Raw genomic sequence first — 19,508 nt, 5'->3', positions numbered from 1 at the left:
AGACAAAGAGAAAATGGCTGGGTTGGGGTAAACAGGGAACGCTAAAGGAATGCAAAGAAAGAATACTTTGATCAGTGTATGAGGAATCAGAGAAAGATTCCTAGAGGAGATGGCATCTGAGCTAAGAAGTAGTGAACAGAGAAAAGAATGAGAGAGAGCAATGTTTGCTGAGCCCCTACTCTACATTAGAGATTGGATAGTAGAAAGATGAATGGCTCAAGGTAATCAAATAGATGATTGTAGGTAATTATACCGTGAAAATGCAATAATGGAGGTGGACACAGAAACCATCTAAGTCAAAAAGGGGAAACGAAAATGGGTGGAGGCCAACTAGAAATTCGATTTGGAGGAAGAAAGTTATGAGCTGTAGAACTGTGATCGTGCTGGGTGTCCTCCACCCAGCGGAACCTCTGCCACAGTTTACAGGACTTAGTTATGCTGCCGCATAACTAAGGGTTATGACTTACCCCTCAGCCATACTGAGGGTCATACTGAGTCATACTGAGGGATATGACTTACCTCTCAGCCACCCATCTCAGCATTTGCCAGTGAGAAGGCCCTGTGAGATCTGAGGGCAGAGGCACGGCATGTGGCCAGAGTCCCTACTGAGAGTGATTCCCATAAGTGAACTTTACTGATCCATTTACTTTCATCAGGGTACAATGTTGCCCTGCTCTCTTTCTTTCCCCGAGTTCTCTGTAGTTTTAAAGTTTAAACTATAGTTTATCGTTCTCTCTAGTTTTGGAGCCCTCGTGACTCCACAGTCCAACATTTCCTAGTATCTTCTTATTTTGGTGATTTCTGGCAGTTGGGTTACTTGTCACCTCTTAAGAAAAGCATCTAGCAAACATCTCCCCTAACACGTCCCTCCCTGCTCTGTCACTGCCTGGCGGAGGCCTCGAAGTGCATTCCCCACATGTTCAGACGAGCACTTGGTAAAGGCATCCAGAGATATAGAACCTGTTATACTAAAGGTTTTACATACTGCTATAAATAAAAAATAAAAGGAATGTTTTAAAGGAACTAATTCGATGGATATAAGATTATTTGATACTGCTCCATTATCTATTTCATTGTGTGTGTATGTGTGTGTGCATACATTTTATCTATACATACACACACACACACACACACGTATTTATACAGTATGGATGAGTTTTTATTTGAAAATAATCCAGAATTCCTGTTTTCAAGTCTTTTATTTGACACACACTCTGCCCAGACACAAACCAGGGAAGGTTTGGCTTTGACCCAACAGTTTTGACTTTCTTGTCTGCAGAGGCAGCATAACAAGTCCATGATCAGTGGTGAAGGGAAGGCATTTATTTTCACTGTATTTGACAAGCATCCCTCCCAGGGATGCTTCCATTGGAAGAGAAATCGACTTCAAGAAGCTCAGTACTTCAAAGACTTATGATGACCCCAGGAAAGAGAAAAACACCATGTAAGCCAATCACCCACTTTGTGATTGTCCATTCTTCTGGGAAATAAGAATCTGAGATGCAATGTCTGTATCAGCCTCATCTCAGAATCCATAAATAATTCACAGAAGGTATCAATTTATTTATAGGATAGGTGGCCAAGAGAGACTTCCGGCTGTTTACCAATAGCATGGCTCTGGAAACTCCATCCTATTGAAATAATTCCTGTTCTTGGCAGGAGTAACTTGAGCTAAGGGTGTATCCACACCCTTTTAAAAACATGCCAGTGATTTTGCATAACTAATATGAACATTGAAATGGGTATTCTATAGAGGCAAGTGTGAACAGAGATCAGGTTTTCCCCTGTGGGTATGCACATGTAGTGGAAACTGATGGACCCAAATTTGTGCCATTTGATGACTAAACTCATTCTGGGCTGCAAAGGCATTGTTTCAGTTTTCTCTCATAATATTTTTAATTCAGACCAAATTTTATCTTATAAGTAGAAGAAGTAGTTGCAAATAATTCCATGCCCTGCCAATGACATAGGCACTGATTTTTAACAAAAGGCTCATAAACTCTTTTTATGATACTGTAAAACTGGAGAGCCTGTGCCCATTAAAACATAAGCTTCATGTTACATGTAATTAAGGCAAGAAGGAGAACATAAAAATGTAAGCTTTAAAATGTATCTTGTATTACATATTAAATGCACACAGAAAAATACTGCATAAGTTCCATTTCAAAGGCAAAGGTAAGGACAAGCAGGAATGATCACAGTAGATGAGTAAGCCCTTCGGTGAAAAAATCAATTTAGTAAAAAATGGGTTTCTATTTCAAGTTCTTGAGGATATACTATATTGATGATTAGAGCACATTTTCTATTTTTCCTGATTTTTAACTCAGAAAATATCATTAGAGTCACATTCACTTGCTATTTGGTTAATCTAGGTTATAATTTTTGGTCCACTAAAGACTTAAAATTATTATTTCCTTTTTCTTTGGAAATTGGACCCTCCAATGTGATTCATACTAAGAAGAGGTTGAAGAGATGTCCAAGAGCTGTCAAAGGTAGCTAGAAGGTGCTCTTATGTATCCATCCCCAAACCCAGTGGAGAAGAGCTTCCGCTGGTGTGAAGGCCTATGCTGTAGCTTCCTTTCAATCCTGCACAGACCATGATGTACCTCATGGACTATCCTCGGCTGCACTGCATTCAGTGTTGGCATTTTGCACTCTTATTTCTGTGTATTTATTGAAAACGGACACAAGAATTCTGAACCCCAGATATCCAGCTATTAACGTAAAAAAGATCTACTGGAAACCAAACAACCTCTTATACCTAAGTGGAGATTAGTGGATACATGGTTATATTACAAGTTACAACATATGGTTGTTTCATTTTAGTGTCCTTAAATTTTTTTCTAATATTCAAATTTATGATTTAATTTTAAAGGCATACCAATTATAGACCAAATAAAAATTTGAGACTGGAAAGAAAATTAAAATGTTTACCTGGATGGCATACACTGAGATTTCAATCTGCATATTTTGAACAGGTTTTATTATAAAAAAGAAAGTGGAAATACAATTGAACAAAATATATAAATAAATTGCATACCATCATTAAACTGTGTAGCGTAGCCCCAAAAGCTACATCAAATAGCTGCATTTCACCAGCCAACCATAAAATAAGTCACTATATAGTTGAGAATCAATTGGATACATTTTGTATTTATGAAACCATGTTACTTCTGAATTCTTATGTACCAATAATCAATTGTAAATATTTTGCTTTTAAAACATATCTAAACATTTTAATGGATTTCATAGGAATTACTCTTTCATATTATACAAAGTATATTTTTTTATTTTATATGATAAAATGAATCATGTGATGCTACACATAAATCACCTTAAGAAGACATCTTGGTTAGAGATATTAAATGTCTACTCATAACCTAATCTACAATGGAATATTTTTCCCAGATATATTACAAAAAGGGCTAGAAAAAAAGTCTTTGAAAAACAAAATTTTAAAAAGTCCTCTGCAGAGAATGCTACAGACTTGGGAGAAAATACCACGCAACATAAATCAAATCCAAAACTTAAGCTACCTAAATAGTATTACACTGTAGGAATCCTTTTATGGTGTTTTCTCTAAAAGTGACGGTTTTTATTTTGCCCCTACTATTAGTTGGTTTTAAGTAATTATTTTTATTTGCCTTTCAAATAGACTTACACAATTTAAATACTCTTAATAAATTTTCACCGTAATATTTGATTATGTATCTAGTGTGTTAAAGCATAGTGATCTGACATTTAATAGGGCCATAAAACAAATTCTTTACATTTCAGCAAGCATAAAGAAAACAAATGGAATACCATTTTAGGAGGACTGCATGGTCTATATGAATTAGAAAAAAATGAGTTCTACATCCCCCTACATCAAGTGAATGAATCATAAAAGAAATATGGAAGTTGATAATAGCAGTTACTGCAGCAATAAAAACATGATAAAAGGCTTTTTGACAGTATGAAACCTTGGAAGTTGTGCCAAATACAAAATCTTGTTTGTAGGTGCTGGCAATATCCTGTTGTTTTTAGTAGGTCTTTGGGGGTTCCCGACAAATTCTGGTTCATCCCCTTAGGCTGAAGTGATCTATTAAAATGCCTTAGTTTCCAAGAGCAATAAAAATCATTTCAACTTCAAGTACACATTAAAAAAAAAACTACAGTAGCATTTGGAGAGTAATTATTCCTTGATCCACTCAAAATGGTGGAATCTGCTATGCTATCATTTTCTGCTTGAACATGTATTTTTGAAGTTATCAGTTTATATAAGCTTACTCAGTCATTTTTGTTCATTTTAAATACATTAATAGCCACTGGTCTTGGTGAATTTGGGGGATTTTTATAAGATAAAAATTCAGATAAATTTTAGATAAAGATGATTGTTTCAGCATTTACTCACATGGAGGAGCCCTTAGGAAAATACTTAATAAGATCCTAACCCTGATTAACTAACTATCTAGGCTCTTAATCTCACTACTATATTAGATACCCCTCCCTGCTCTGCCAAAGCATTATAGCTTTGAAATAACTCTTATTTGGTTACATAATTTTGAGCCATTTCTATATTTCTTCTTGGAATTGTTCAGCGAAAGGAAACTAAAAGGCATTTCAACTGGAGAATAGTATTAGTTTTTTTTTCTCCATAAGCATTATGGGAAATATTTCTATCTCAAAAATCAGTAATTTCTTCCAACACATTCTTAAGTAGGAATCACTGCTCTGTAGAGAAGACTTCTAGGCACATGGGCAAATAACAAAAGGATAATTGAATGACCCAAATGTAAACCCAACCAGCAGGCAAATGTGAGCCCTTCTTTTTCATGTCTGTGCAGGATCTTATCTGCCTAGTTGGGTGGCTGGCAAATAGTACACTGTGCCTTTAAACACACACGCACACGCCCACCCACACACAAGATCAACAGTGATGCTTGGAAATGTTTATGCAGTTATTATTGACTTTTAATGTTATAAATGTTTTCTTTAGTTTAGTTTGGATTGGATTCTAATAAATTCTTACCAAAATAATACATTTCCTGTAAGTTTTACACCTAAAAATATGTTAAAATGCCTACTCCCATTTTTTCCCATTGAAATTAAGAACTTGCTAAATATGTACAAACACATGTGCACACGGATACACATACACATACACCTAGGTAAAATAAAATGCAGTTTCAGTTAAGGAGCAATTAAAATGATTCCTAGCATTTAAGTAAGTGTCTTATTATTATTATTTTTAAAAAGCTTGTCACTACAATACATTATCTTCATACATTTTGGTCATTGCACAGTGGGAAGTTCATCTGATCATAAACTTAAAGAATATTAGGCTTAGAAGGAACTATATAGTTAATCGTGTTTAACCATGCTATAATACTTGAATCCACATGATAATATCCCTGCCAAGTGGTCACTGTTTGCATAGATGTACATCTTCAGTAAAAAAGAAAATAAAAGATACTCTACAAACACAGACTATTACTAGTAAGACATTTATTAATGATATTATTACAATTGTTTCTAAAATCCATTATTATTTCAGCAGCGAAGAGATAAATACCAGAGTAACCTCAGTCAGATGGTAACAGTTAGGTCTAAAGAAAATTATATGAAATACTGACTGTAATACTGCTATAGAGTATACAGTATGTTAAAACATGATGGAGAGGCTGCACACATTGGTAACGTTTTATGTCATTAAAAAAATCACTGAAAATTTAAAAATGATGTTTGCATTTAAGTGTATATTAGAAAAGTTTTATTTTTAAAGTTAATTCTGTATCATTCTTCTAAAAAAATTATCATCTGTAAGATGCAGATTTGTATTGTTTATATCAAGTGATATTTGCATTTATGTAAATATAATTTAAGACAGTTAAATATAAATTCATGTTTATCTTCATATAAAAATATATATAAAAATAGAGTATTTAAAGGAGGTGGATATTCATACAAAAGAACTGATCAATCAAAATAGGTGTTTTTTTCTTGTATGGTAGTGAAAATGAGGTATTTATACATTTGGTAATTTCAGCCATGTATTGAATTAACCCTCTCAGCTTCCCACCCCACCCAAAAAAGACAAACCTCTAAAATCCATTGTAACAGTGTGATGTTATCTCACAACAAAGCATTCATATAATAAAGAAATTCACCATTTTGAACCTAAAGAGATAAAAGAAATAGTTCTCACTACTATAATTAGGTATGTATTATATGTATGCCACAGTTTAATTAAAATAATAATTTTTTGTCTAATCTAAATTTGGATTTGATACAGTTGCTCAGGAAAATCAAAATATAGATACTAGTAACATAATACTATTTGTGGACATATGCAAATGCTTGGTGGGAAAAAGCACCTATGCATTTCAGAATGCATAGTCCTTTGCAAAATATTTACATAAAATATAATTGTAATTTTAAGTTACATAGGGCTGTAATGGCAAACACAAGATTTAAGTAATATCATCAATGAAACATAGTACAGTAATACATGAGGAACTACATTTTGTTACTTACTTTAAAATTACATATTTCATTAATTCAGACTGCAGTTACCCATCGAAGTACACAGATAAGACAAGAGGGAATGTTTATGAAAAACACAAGAAGTGTAAAGTTGAATATATTGGTGTTTTAACTATAAAATATTTCATATCTCTCTCACAGAATCTCTTCAAATTCCCTTGTGGAACATTCCTGTTCTTTTCCTTTCAGTAATAAAATTTAAAAAGTATAGGAAGAAATGTTTTTCATAAGCATTAGATTCACAAAGCCTAAGCCATCATAAACATCACATTTTCTCCTGGTAAAGAATGAAAGGACAACTTCTACTTGCCAGTGGAATGTCATTGGTTTTTCTCCTTTTCAATATTGATGTACCTATAGATATGGTAAGACAACATGAAAGAGCATTATCCTTTTTTTCACATAATTTTAAGTGTCTATATTTCTCTTTATTATCACAATGCCATACCTGGCCCACAGTGGTTCTGGTTAATAATTATGCTTCAAGTAACGTTTCTCTAGGTATATCTTTCACTGTGAAATGGACTGGTGTTCAAGGTCACATCTTGAATTCATAAAGCTGTAAGAAGTGTTATCATTATTTAACTGTGTGTGTACTGGTGTGCATGCATGTGCTGGTGTGCACAAGTGTGTGTGGTCGATCCCAAATGTGTGCGATGTGCAGCGCTTGGCTCCTAGACCATTGTCCGGGTGACTAGCTCGTCTCCAGCTCCAGATTCAGCTCTCCTGCAGGGAGCCTACATAGTCCTTTTATTTGCACACATCCTGCTGAGAAGGATTTCAGAACAAACCTGATTTATTGGACCTCTGACATGATATGGCGATCGAAAATTTGTTACAGTGCCTTGTTGTAGTTTGCTTTGATTGCTGAAATATCTTCCCATGATATGATTTCTTGATCTTTTCATTTTAATAAAGTTATATTCTTTGGATAACTTTGATTTCACTACCTGTAAATGAAGAGCAAGAAAACTGTGAGGCAAAATCAAGAATATCCAATCCCTGCATAACTAACTCTCAAACTTGAACATGCATCTCTGCCACACAGATGTTGCTAAAAGGGCATGACTATGACTTACATAACCAGGAATGGCTATAACTTATGTTTCGAAAAAGACCAAGGTTAAAATTCAACTTTGTCACTTTTCTTACCTCATTGCAGCTGTCTCCAATGCAACTAAGGAACAGTCTCAGATGATTTATCTTCTAGTCTTTGTGTGTGTGTGTGTGTGTGTGTGTGTGTGTGTGTTTTCAGGCCAGGCACACTGACATACAGTTTGACATAGTACTACAATAGGAAAGGCACTGGTGTGCCTTTGCCAGGCCACTGATTCAAACATGGTACCCTAAACATGTCATGGCACTCTTCTATAAAATGGCAACTAAAACTATTTTCAGAGAAAAGAAAAAATTTTTTTCCATTGCAGACTTATAAGCTAACTGTTACTTTTAGTGGTTTTGTTGCTCTGGGCACTTAGTAAGTTATGGAATCTGGGGAGCTGCCTATGCACTATTAAACTAATAACTTCGTATATTTGGAGATATATATGTAGATTTAGTTTTAGACTTTTTTTTTTTTTTTTGCTTAGAAGGCTAAAGTAACTCCATCTTGGATGCTAATCTGCCATGTTGACTTCTGATTAACCCCAGTCCCAGGAAGGTCTGTAAGATTTCCAGTTTATCTATTGTTCCTTGTGTAAGAGCACACTTATGATAAATCCTGCCCTTAGGTCAAAACAACCTTGATGTTATCATACTTCAGTCTTCCTACACATCCCTCTGAATCACCCTTTTCCAATGGCATATAAGCCCTGGGTCTGGGGTTATAATGGTGCAGGGATCCACCATTTTGTTTTGCTGCCACCTGAGACACAGACATGGCATCTGTTTGTAAGTCCCTTTTAAATGTTTCTTTCTAAGAAAACGGATTTGTTGGCCTCTTCCTTCAGCTTCTCAGCTTCCTGAACTTTTGGGGGTAGGTGTGCATAGATCTTCCCACCACAGAGAACAGCGGTTTTAAGAAGCATCATGCATAAGTTATAAAAGGGTATATAACAAAAAGTTTATTTCCTATTTCTGTTCCTCACCCCAAGCTACTAAATTTCCTCCCCAAATATATGGTTCATTTCTTGTGATTTCATTCATGGTTACTTTATGAATATATATATACAGACACATCCAAACAAAGAGGCTACATTTGTAGTCTACTTGTACATTTTACAAACGTTGTCCTAGTGAAATCATATAATTATCAGCTTTAATTACTGAGTTAATCAAACTCAGGTTGTTAGCTCTAGAGAACAAAAGGAGGACCGAGAGAGATTGGGGGAAAGGTTGGGAAGTAGAAAAAGAGAGGAAGGGAAGGAGAAAAAGTACTGGTAAGGATGTTTTGGGTGTCTTTATAAATGAATAACGAATGGGGGGCTGGCAAGATCGCCAAATAGGAACAGCTCCAGTCTGCAGCTCACAGCGAGAACAAGGCAGAAGGCAGGTGATTTCTGCATTTCCAACTGAGGTACCCGGTCCATCTCACTGGGACTGGTTAGACAGTGGGTGCAGCCCATGGAGGGCAAGCAGAAGCAGGGTGAGGCGTTGCCTCACCAAGGAAGCACAAGGGGTTAGGGAACTCCCTCCCCTAGCCAAGGGAAGGCATGAGAGACTGTGCCATGAGGGATGGTGCTATCCAGCCCAGATACTATGCTTTTACCCCAGTCTTCGCAACCCGCAGACCAGGAGATTCCCTTGGGTGCCGACGCCACCAGGGCCCTGGGTTTCAAGCACAAAATGGGGCAGCCATTTGGGCACACACTGAGCTAGCTGCAGGAGGCTTTTTTTTCATACCCCAGTAGTGCCTGGAACACCAGCAAGACAGAACTGTTCACTCCCTTGGAAACGGGGCTGAAGCCAGAGAGCTGAGTGGTCTTGCTCAATGGATCCCACCCCATGGAGTCCAACAAGCTAAGATCCACTGGCTTGAAATTCTCACTGCCAACACTGCAGTCTGAAGTCGACCTGGGACACTCGAGCTTGGTGGGGGTAGGGGTGTCTACCATTACTGAGGCTTGAGTAGGCAGTTTTCCCCTCACAGTGTAAACAAAACCGCTGGGAATTTCGAACTGGATGCAGAACCCACCACAGTGCCAGTCTGCTTCTCTAGATTCCTCCTCTCTGGGCGGGGCATCTCTGAAAGAAAGGCAGCAGCCCTAGTCAGGGGCTTATAGATAAAACTCTCATCTCCCTGGGACAGAGCACCTGGGGGAAGGGGCAGCTGTGGTTGCAGCTTCAGCAGACTTAAACGTTCCTGCTTGCTGGCTCCGAAGAGAGCAGAGGATCTCCCAACACAGCACTAGAGCTCTGCTAAGGGACAGACTGCCTCCTCAAGTGGGTTCCTGACCCCCGTGCCTCGTGACTGGGAGACATTTTCCAGCAGGGGTCGACAGACACCTCATACAGGAGAGCTCTGGCTGGCATCTGGCAGGTGCCCCTCTGGGATGAAGCTTCCAGAGGAATGAGCAGGCAGCAATCTTTGCTGTTCTGCAGCCTCTGGTGGTGATACTCAGGTAAACAGGGCCTGGGGTGGACCTCTAGCAAACTCCAGCAGACTTGCAGAAGAGCGGCCTGACTGTTAGAAGGAAAACTAACAAACAGAAAGCAATAGCATCAACATCAACAAAAAGGACACCCACCTAAAAACCCCATCCGAAGGTCACCAACATCAAAGACCAAAGGTAGGTAAATCCACGAAGATGAGGAAAAGCCAGCACAAAAAGGCTGAAAATTCCAAAAACCAGAATGCCTCTTCTCCTCCAAACGATCGCAACTCCTCGCCAGCAAGGGAACAAAACTGGATGGAGAATCAGTTTGACAAATTGACAGAAGTAGGCTTCAGAAGGTGGGTAAAGACAAACTCCTCCAAGCTAAAGGAGCATGTTCTAACCGAATGCAAAGAAGTTAAGAACCTTGATAAAAGGTTACAGGAACTGCTAACTAAAATAATGAGTTTAGAGTAGAACATAAATGACCCGATGGAGCTGAAAAACACAGCACGAGAACTTCATGAAGCATACACAGGTATCAATAACCGAATCAATCAAGCAGAAGAAAGCATATCAGAGATTGAAGATCAACTTAATGAAATAAAGCATGAAGACAAGATTAGAGAAAAAAGAATGAAAAGAAAAGGAATGAACAAAGCCTCCAAGAAATATGGGACTATGTGAAAAGACCAAGCCTACATTTGATTGGTGTACCTGAAAGTGATGGGGAGAATGGAACCAACTTGGAAAACACTCTCCAGGATATTATCCAGGAGAACTTCCCCAACCTAGCAAGGCAGGCCAACATTCAAATTCAAGAAAGACAGAGAACACCACAGAGAAACTCTTCAAGAAGAGCAACCCCAACTAGGCATTGATGGAATGTATCTGAAAATAATAAGAGCTATTTATGACAAACCCACAGCCAGTATCATACTGAATGGGCAAAAGCTAGAAGCATTCACTTTGAAAACCAGCACAAGACAAAGATGCCCTCTCTCACTGCTCTTATTCAACATAGTATTGGAAGTTCTGGCCAGGGCAATCAGGCAAGAGAAAGAAATAAAGCGTATTCAAATAGGAAGAGAGGAAGTCAAATTGTCTCTGTTTGCTGATGACATGAGTGTATCTTTAGAAAACCCCATCATCTCAGCCCAAAAACTCCTCGAGCTGATAAGCAACTTCAGCAAAATCTCAGGATACAAGATCAATGTGCAAAAATCACAAGCATTCCTATACACCAATTATAGACAAACAGAGTGCTAAATCATGAGTGAACTCCTATTCACAATTGCTACAAAGAGAATAAAATACTTAGGAATCCAACTTACAAGGGATATGAAGAACCTCTTCAAGGAGAACTACAAACCACTGCCCAAGGAAATAAGAGAGGACACAAACAAATGGAAAAACATTCCATGCTTATGGATAGGAAGAATCAATATTGTGAAAATGGCCATATTGCCCAAAGTAATTTATAGATTCAATGCTATTCCCATCAAGGAACCATTGACTTTCTTCACAGAATTAGAAAACTACTTTAAATTTCATATGAAACCAAAAGAAGCCCGTATAACCAAGACAATCCTAAGCAAAAAGAACAAAGCTGGAGGCATCACACTACCTGACTCCAAACCATACTACAAGGCTACTGTAACCAAAACAGCATGGTACTGGTACCAAAACAGATACATAGACCAATGGAACAGAGGAGAGGCCTCAGAAATGACACCACACATCTACAACCATCTGATCTTTGACAAACCTGACAAAAACAAGCAATGGGGAAAGGATTCCCTATTTCATAAATAGTGTTGGGAAAACTGGCTAGCCATATGCAGAAAACTGAAACTGGACCCCTTCCTTACACCTTATACAAGAATTAACTCAAGATAGTTTAAATATTTAAACATAAGACCTAAAACCATAAAAACCCTAGAAGAAAACCTAGGCAATACCATTCAGGACATAGGCATGGGCAAAGACTTCATGAATAAAACACCAAAAGCAATGGCACCAAAAGCCAAAATTGACAAATGGGATCTAATTAAACTAAAGAGCTTCTGAACAGCAAAAGAAACTACCATCAGAGTGAACAGACAACCTACAGAATGGGAGTAAATTTTTGCAATCTGTCCATCTAACAAAGGGCTAAATCCAGAATCTACAAGGAACTTAAACAAGTTTACAAGAACAAAACAACCCCATCAAAAAGTGGGTGAAGGATATGAACAGACACTTCTCAAAAGAAGACATTTATGTGGCCAATAAACATATGAAAAAAAGCTCATCATCACTGGTCATTAGAGAAATGCAAATCAAAACCACAATGAGATACCATCTCATGCCAGTTAGAATGGCGATCATTAAAAAGTCAGGAAACAACAGATGCTGGAGAGGATGTGGAGAAATAGGAACGCTTTTACACTGTTGGTGGGAGTGTAAATTATTTCAACCATTGTGGAAGACAGTGTGGTGATTCCTCAAGGATCTAGAACTAGAAATACCATTTGACCTAGCAATCCCATTACTGGGTATATATCCAAAGATTATAAATCATTCTACTAAAAAGACACATGCACACATATGTTTATTGCACCACTATTCACAATAGCAAAGACTTGGGACCAACCAAAATGCCCATCAATGTTAGACTGGATGAGGAAAATGTGGCACGTATATACCATGGAGTACTATGCAGCCATAAAAAAGGATGAGTTTCATGTGCTTTGCAGTGACATGGATGAAGCTGGCAACCATCATTCTCAGCAAACTAACACAGGAACAGAAAACCAAACACCGCATGGTCTCACTCGTAAGTGGGAGTTGAACGATGAGAACATATGGGCACAGGGAGGGGAACAACACACACTGGGGCCTGTCAGGAGTTCGGGGGAAAGGAGAGGAATAGCATTAGGAGAAATACCTACTGTAGATGATGGGTTGATGGATGCAGCAAACCACCATGACACATGTATACCTATGTAACAAACCTGCATGTTCTGCATATGTATCCCAGAACTTAAAGTATAATAAAAATAAATAAAATAATAAAAGAATAACAAATTATGAATTTCATCATTTTAATGCAATTATAAAATACTTTTTCTGTCACTATTTGGACATATAAACTATTATCAATGACTAATGAAAGTAATTCTAGCTTACATAATTTTTTAAAAATTGTTTTGAGTTCTATATAACAATTTAGGTACATATTTTTTCATCTCATATAAGGTAGTGCAATGAAAACAGTTCCATATAAACAAAATTGAGTATTTTTTAAAAAATCACATGATATCTATTTGGAAGAGAAGTAGTTTTAGTTACATTGCAAATGAGCTTGAACCATTTCTGAAAAGTTATTTGAATAGGAAATCTGTAAAGATCTATACCAAAATATTAACAATAGTGACCTTTTGGTAGAGGAATTATAGGACATTTTTAATGTATTCTTGTAACTTTGGGCTTGATTTTTTTCTTTAATATAATACAATGAATGTGCATTATTATGTAATGATAAAAATTTTGAAACTATTCACATTTGAAGAAAAAATGAAACAATAATATGTTTTAAAACCAGTTATACTCTGCTAACCCCAAAGAAATGTTTTCCTGTAGCTATGGAAGGTTTGGCTTTGCTTGATCTGGCCCTCAGATCAGGTAACTCTTAAGAAATCCAGTGAAATCAGGAGGTTGTAGTGAGGAATCCCTGTGGATTGTAGTTTAGAGCTCAGTTTGTGGTTAACCACTGATTAATAGTCTAGGTCCCAGGGTCAAAATTTTCTACTGTGTACAGCTCTTTCCACCCTTATTTGGTTATATGGCAACTCTAAATATGATAGACAGGAGAGGTGCATCAATGTTTTCCTGAAAGTTTTGTCAGTTTTAGAGGAGGTTTGTACTCAACAGCAAGATTAGTGAGCAGTCTTCAGGAAGTTTATTTAAGAAAACATTTAAGCATAAATATAACATTCGACCTTGAAATAATATTATTCTAGTGTTCTGAAGCCAAAATAAGGTTAATTTTGTTTATACGATTTTATCTAGAGTTCTGGCTTTTGCAAGTGCCTGATGGTCTGCATACTAATTACATGCAAAATAGAAAAGGGTCTATCCCACTGAAAAAGTTTATAGTTCTTTAAACATTATTTTAATATTTGTGTGATTTTAGGGTTGAATTTAAAGTTGCATTACAACCATTGGATAATGCTGGTGTAGATGCTTACAACAATCTTAAATGTGATTCATAAATGGGATATACAAAAATATAGATCTCCAGTGTAACTGCTGAAGCGTACGGCTTCCATTTGGGAGTAGTGTCAGTATTTTGACAGATCTCAATGGAAGGTTGATAACCTATTTCTATTTTTAGAGATCACTAAATTGATGTCTGAGAAAGGAAATCAGGATGATGGGGTTACTTGTAGCTTCTGAGGACCAGGCTAATGACTTTTATAGGGTCAATGCTCCCATATGTTCTTCAAAATGGAACCCTTCATGCCCAGGCCAGTGGCTGGCCCAACAACACTTAATTCACTTGGTTTCCCTTGGAAACTATTTTGTAGAAAATAATCAAAGATGATGTTTCCTAATCCCTTTGTTAAGTCATTATCATCCTGATACTATAAAGAATTAGTTCAATTTTGATTTGTCAAAATATAGATGTAAAAATTCCTTTGCCATTGTGAATTGAATCCAGGAGCATTAAAAACATCTGGTAGTATTATATGCTGTTTCACTAGCCCATACAATTTATTTCAGGAATGCAAAATGTTTCAATATTATGAAACATTTCATTACAGAAAATTACCAAACAATTATATGTAACTGTATGATTGTTTACCCTGAAAATCCAAGGAATATACTGAAAAATAATTAGATATTATAAAGTTAACATTTGAAAATTGTATAGCTTTACTGCAGTCTATACATAATTAGTAAGAAATATATTAGAGAAAAGATCCCATTACAATACTGAAACATCTTCACTAAATTCAACAATGATATTTAGGATGCAGGTGAAAAATATATCAAAAGTTTAATGAGTCATTAAAAAGCACATGAACAAATGCAGACATAGCATGTCAAATCTTCCCGAGTTAATTAAAATGCCATTCCAATTGTAATCGCAGAAGAATTTGGGGGAAAACAGGGGAAAACATGAAAAAGAAATTCTAAAATACATCTTAAAGATAAATGTAGGAAAATAGTTAAGACCATTTGAAAGGAAAAAAAGTGATGAGAGGAGACTTTCAATACCAGGTATTCATTAGTCACTATGAATAGAGTCTACAATCATGACTCATTATGATTTGAATCTACCATCAGGGAACTGAAGGAGTGCTAGTGGTTACAAACTTGGTGCTTCCTCTTTGATTTCTGATGTCTTCCCTGGCTGTTACACCTCTCAGTTGTTCCTTTGGAAACCTCTTTTCCATGGTAAACAGTCTCTTAGAGAGTCACCATTTCACTGAAGGTTTCCTTGGCGTCATTGCCAAAATTAAAATGTTGCTTCTCCAGGAAGACACCATAACCCTCTCGTGTATGAGTGTGTGAGTGTGTGTGTGTGTGTCTGTGTCTGTGTCTGTGTGGCAGGAGGTTGGGGGTATAAAAGGGTGGCACTGATGGTGGTGCTACTTGTCCTACCATGGTTCATGATCTTTAAATCCCAGGTGATATGGTTAGGTTTTCTGTCCCCACTCAAATCCCATCTTGAATTGTAATCTCCATAATCTCCACGTGTCAAGGGAGAGACCAGGTAGAGGTAATTGAATCGGGGAGGTGGTTTCCTCCATGCTGTTTTCATAACAGTGAGTGAGTTCTCATGGGATTTAATAATTTCATAAGGGGCTCTTCCTCCTTCACTTGGCACTTCTCCTTCCTGCCACCTTGTGAAGAAGGTGCCTGCTTCCTCTTTGCCTTCTGCCACACTCATAAGTTTCCTGAGGCCTCCTCAGCCATGCTGAACTATGAGTCAATTAAACCTATTTCCTTTATAAATTACGCAGTCTCAGGAAGTCCTTTATAGCAGTATGAAAATGGACTAATACACCAGGTGTAGTTAGTTTTCTCTGAACATCTAGTGCCACTTCAAGGACACCATTTTTCCATCTGCAGCCTTTAATCCTGCTCTTTGGGGACTCATGTCATCCAGTGATAACTTGTTCTAACATCTCTCCAATGCTGCCATCCACCAACTTCTTGAGCACATCTGTAATCCTGTTATCATCCTAGATATTAACTAGATTTATAAAAATCAAATTTGGTCAGCCATTCATCTTATAACCCTTCAGAATCTCCCAGGGGTAGGAGAAAGAATGCCAGTGGAAAAGTAGTGTGTCTTCTAGGAGGATCCCAGGTTTGGACTGAGGGATTCAGTAATACATAGGCCTCTGTAATGCACTGACAGGCAGGGCATTCCTGCCATGCTTGTTTAGTTATGACACTGAGGAACCCCTGGGGAAAGAACCTTGAGGCTGTGTCTTCTACTTAATTTCAGATGCAACTTGGAATGTCTCACCTCTACAAAGAGGAGTGATATGATTTGGCCATGTCCCCACCTGAATCTCATCGTGAATTGTAGTTCCTGTAATCCCTACACGTCATTAGAGGGACCTGGTGGGAGGAAACTGAATCATGGGGGTAGTTACCTCCATGCTGTTATCATGATAGTGAGTGAGTTCTCAGGAGATATGATGGTTTTGTGAGGAGCTTTCCCCTGCTTCACCATGCACTTCTCCTTGCTGCCACCATGTGAAGAAAGACGTGTTTGCTTCTTTTCCACTATGATTGTTAAGTTTCCCGAGGCTTCCGCAGCCATGCTGAACTGTGAGTCAATTAAATCTCTTTCCTTTATAAATTACCCAGTCTCAGGTATGTCCTCACAGCAGTGTGAGAACAGACTAATACAGTATATTGGTACCTAGTAGTGGGGACTGCTGTAAAGATATCCAAAATGTGAAAGTGACCTTGGAACTGGCTAACAGGCAGAGGTTGGAACAGTTTGGAGGGCTCAGAAGAAGACAGGAAAATGTTTGGAACTTCCTAGAGACTTGGAGTGCTCAGAAGACAAAGATATGGGAAAGTTTGGAACTTCCTAGAGACTTGTTGAATGACTTTGACCAAAATGCTGACAGTGACATGGACAATAAAGTCCAGGCTGAGGTGGTCTCAGAGGGAGATGAGGAACTTGTTGGGAACTAGAGCAAAGGTGGCTCTTGTTATACTTTAGCAAAGAGACTGGTGGCATTTTGCCCCTGCCCTAGAGATCTGTGGAACTTTGAATATGAGAAACATGATTTAGGGTATCTGGCAGAAGAAATTTCTAACCAGCAAGTGTTCAAGAGGAAGCAGAGCTTAAAAGTTTAAAAAATTTGCAGCTGATGATGCAACAGAAAAGAAAAACACATTTTAGGGGAGAAATTTAAGCCAGCTGCAGAAATTTGCATCAGTAATGAGGAGCCAAGTGTTAATCACCAAGACAATGGGGAAAATGTCAACAGGGCATGTCAGAGACCTTCATGGCAGCCCCTCCCATCACAGGACTGGAGGACTAGGAGGGAAAAATGATTTAGTGGGCCAGGCCTAAGGCCTCATGCTCTGTGCAGCCTCAGGACATACTGCCCTGTGTCCCAGCTGCTTCAGCTCCAGCTGTGGCCAAAAGAGGCAAATACACAACTCAGGTCATTATTTTAGAGAGTTCAAGCCCCAAGCCTTGGCAGCTTCCAAATGGTGTTGGACCTGCGGGTGTACAGAAGACTAGAATTTAAGTTTGGGAACCTCCACCTAGATTTCAGAGGATGTATGGAAACGCCTGGATGTCCAGGCAGAAGTTTGCTGCAGGGGCGGAAACTTCATGGAGAAGCTCTGCTAGGACAGTGCAGAAGGGAAATGTGGGGTCAGAGCCCCCACACAGTGACCCCACTGGGGCACTGCTGAATGAAGCTGTGAGAAGAAGGGCACTGTCCTCCAAACCCCAGAATGGTAGATCCACCAACAGCTTGCACTGTGTGCCTGGAAAAGCCACAGACACTCAACGCCATCCTGTAAAAGCAGCTGGGAGGGAGGCTGTACCCTGCAAAGCCACAGGGGAGCTGCCCAAGGCTGGGGGAGACCACCTCTTGCATCAGCATGACTTGGATGTGAGACCTAGTGTCAAAGGAGATCATTTTGTAACTTTAAGGTTTAATGATTGCCCCGCTGGATTTTGGGTTTGAATGGGGCCTCTAGCCCCTTTGTTTTGGCCAATTTATCCCCTTTGGAATGGGTGTATTTACCCAATGTCTGTACCCCCATTTTATCTAGGAAGTAACTAACTTGCTTTTGGTTTTGGTGGCTCATTGGTGGAAGGGACTTGCCTTGTCTCAGATGAGATTTTAGACTTTGACTTTTGGGTTAATGCTGGAATTAGCTAAGACTTTGGGGGACTGTTGGAAAGGCATGATTACGTTTTGAAATGGAAGGACATGAGATTTGGAGAGGAGCCAGGGGCAGAATGATATGGTTTGGCTGTGTCCCCACCCAAATCTCATCTTGAGTTTTAGTTCCCATAATCCACACGTGTTATGAGAGGGACCTCGTGGGAGGTATTAATAATGGTTATCTCCATGATGTTCTCATGATAGTGAATGAGTTCTCACAAGATCTGATGGTTTTATAAGGGACTTTTCCCCCACTTCACTCTGTACTTCTCTTTGCAGCCGCCATGTAAAGAAGGACGTGTTTCCTTCCCCTTTTGCCAGTTGTAAGTTTCTTGAGTCCTCCCCAGCCGTGCTGAACTGTGTGTCAATTAAACCTCTTTCCTTTATAAATTACCCAGTCTCAGGTATGTGCTTATAGCAGCATGAGAACGGACTAATACAGTGAGAGTAACTGAGTTCTATGATACTGTGAGCAACTATAAGTAACTGCTGAAAAAAGTGTTTCACTAAACAGTATAACTCATTGGAGCCCGGGCTTTGGAAACCCACCAACTGAGAATACACAAAGGGACAGAATAAGGCTCTGCACAGACAGTTGTGCAGATTTGGGACCATGAGGGCATGTATCAGGCAGAACCATGGGAGACAGTCACCATGATTAGTGCCTGGGGCGGCTGCAGCATGTGTGCTCTTAGACAGGCAACAAGAAATCAGAGGTAGCAGTGTGTGCTGGAACAGCTCTGAGCCCATGGGAGTGGGCTTGTCCCAGAGCCCCTGTTTGGGAGGACCTATCATACTTACACAGAGTTACAGTTCCAACATGAGCAGATGAGGAACAGAGTCAGGGTAAAGAGGGTCACATATATTGTATTTAAAGTTTCTGTATGTCTCTCTTCCCTACTCTTAGTGACTAGAAATCTAAACATAGAGCTTAGCACAGGAGCTGGAATGCATTGCATGCTCAATACATTTTAGTTAAACTGGCAAGTATATTTTGTCTTACATTATTGTGTTCTTGTCTAGA

At 38.5% G+C, this 19,508-nt stretch overlaps 1 protein-coding gene across 2 annotated transcripts in view, besides 2 other annotated features; it reads right to left on the bottom strand.

Annotated features, from left to right (window-relative positions):
- Positions 513–582: an enhancer, noted in NCBI's record as "active region_26561". NCBI's record gives its function as "activates an Ori minimal core promoter by ATAC-STARR-seq in GM12878 lymphoblastoid cells {active_cell/tissue: GM12878}" and the evidence as "EXISTENCE:reporter gene assay evidence [ECO:0000049][PMID:35858748]".
- CPED1 (cadherin like and PC-esterase domain containing 1) overlaps positions 5,473–19,508 on the bottom strand; it is a 308,732-nt gene continuing 294,696 nt past the window's right edge. For both annotated transcript variants that reach the window (NM_024913.5, XM_024446941.2), the window contains one exon: positions 5,473–7,475. In NM_024913.5, coding sequence (NP_079189.4) covers positions 7,263–7,475 — 213 coding nt within the window. In that variant the 3' untranslated portion in view covers positions 5,473–7,262. The remainder of the gene's footprint in view (positions 7,476–19,508) is intronic.
- Positions 11,475–11,627: a silencer, noted in NCBI's record as "fragment chr7:120931342-120931494 (GRCh37/hg19 assembly coordinates)". NCBI's record gives its function as "represses an EF-1alpha promoter that drives an FKBP-Casp9 reporter gene in an ReSE screen in HepG2 liver carcinoma cells {active_cell/tissue: HepG2}" and the evidence as "EXISTENCE:reporter gene assay evidence [ECO:0000049][PMID:32094911]".

The sequence above is a fragment of the Homo sapiens genome, chromosome 7, assembly GCF_000001405.40.
Source record: "Homo sapiens chromosome 7, GRCh38.p14 Primary Assembly".
Lineage (NCBI taxonomy): Eukaryota > Metazoa > Chordata > Mammalia > Primates > Hominidae > Homo > Homo sapiens.
Note: the sequence above shows the minus strand (reverse complement) of the source record. Positions and strands in the feature narration are given on the sequence as shown.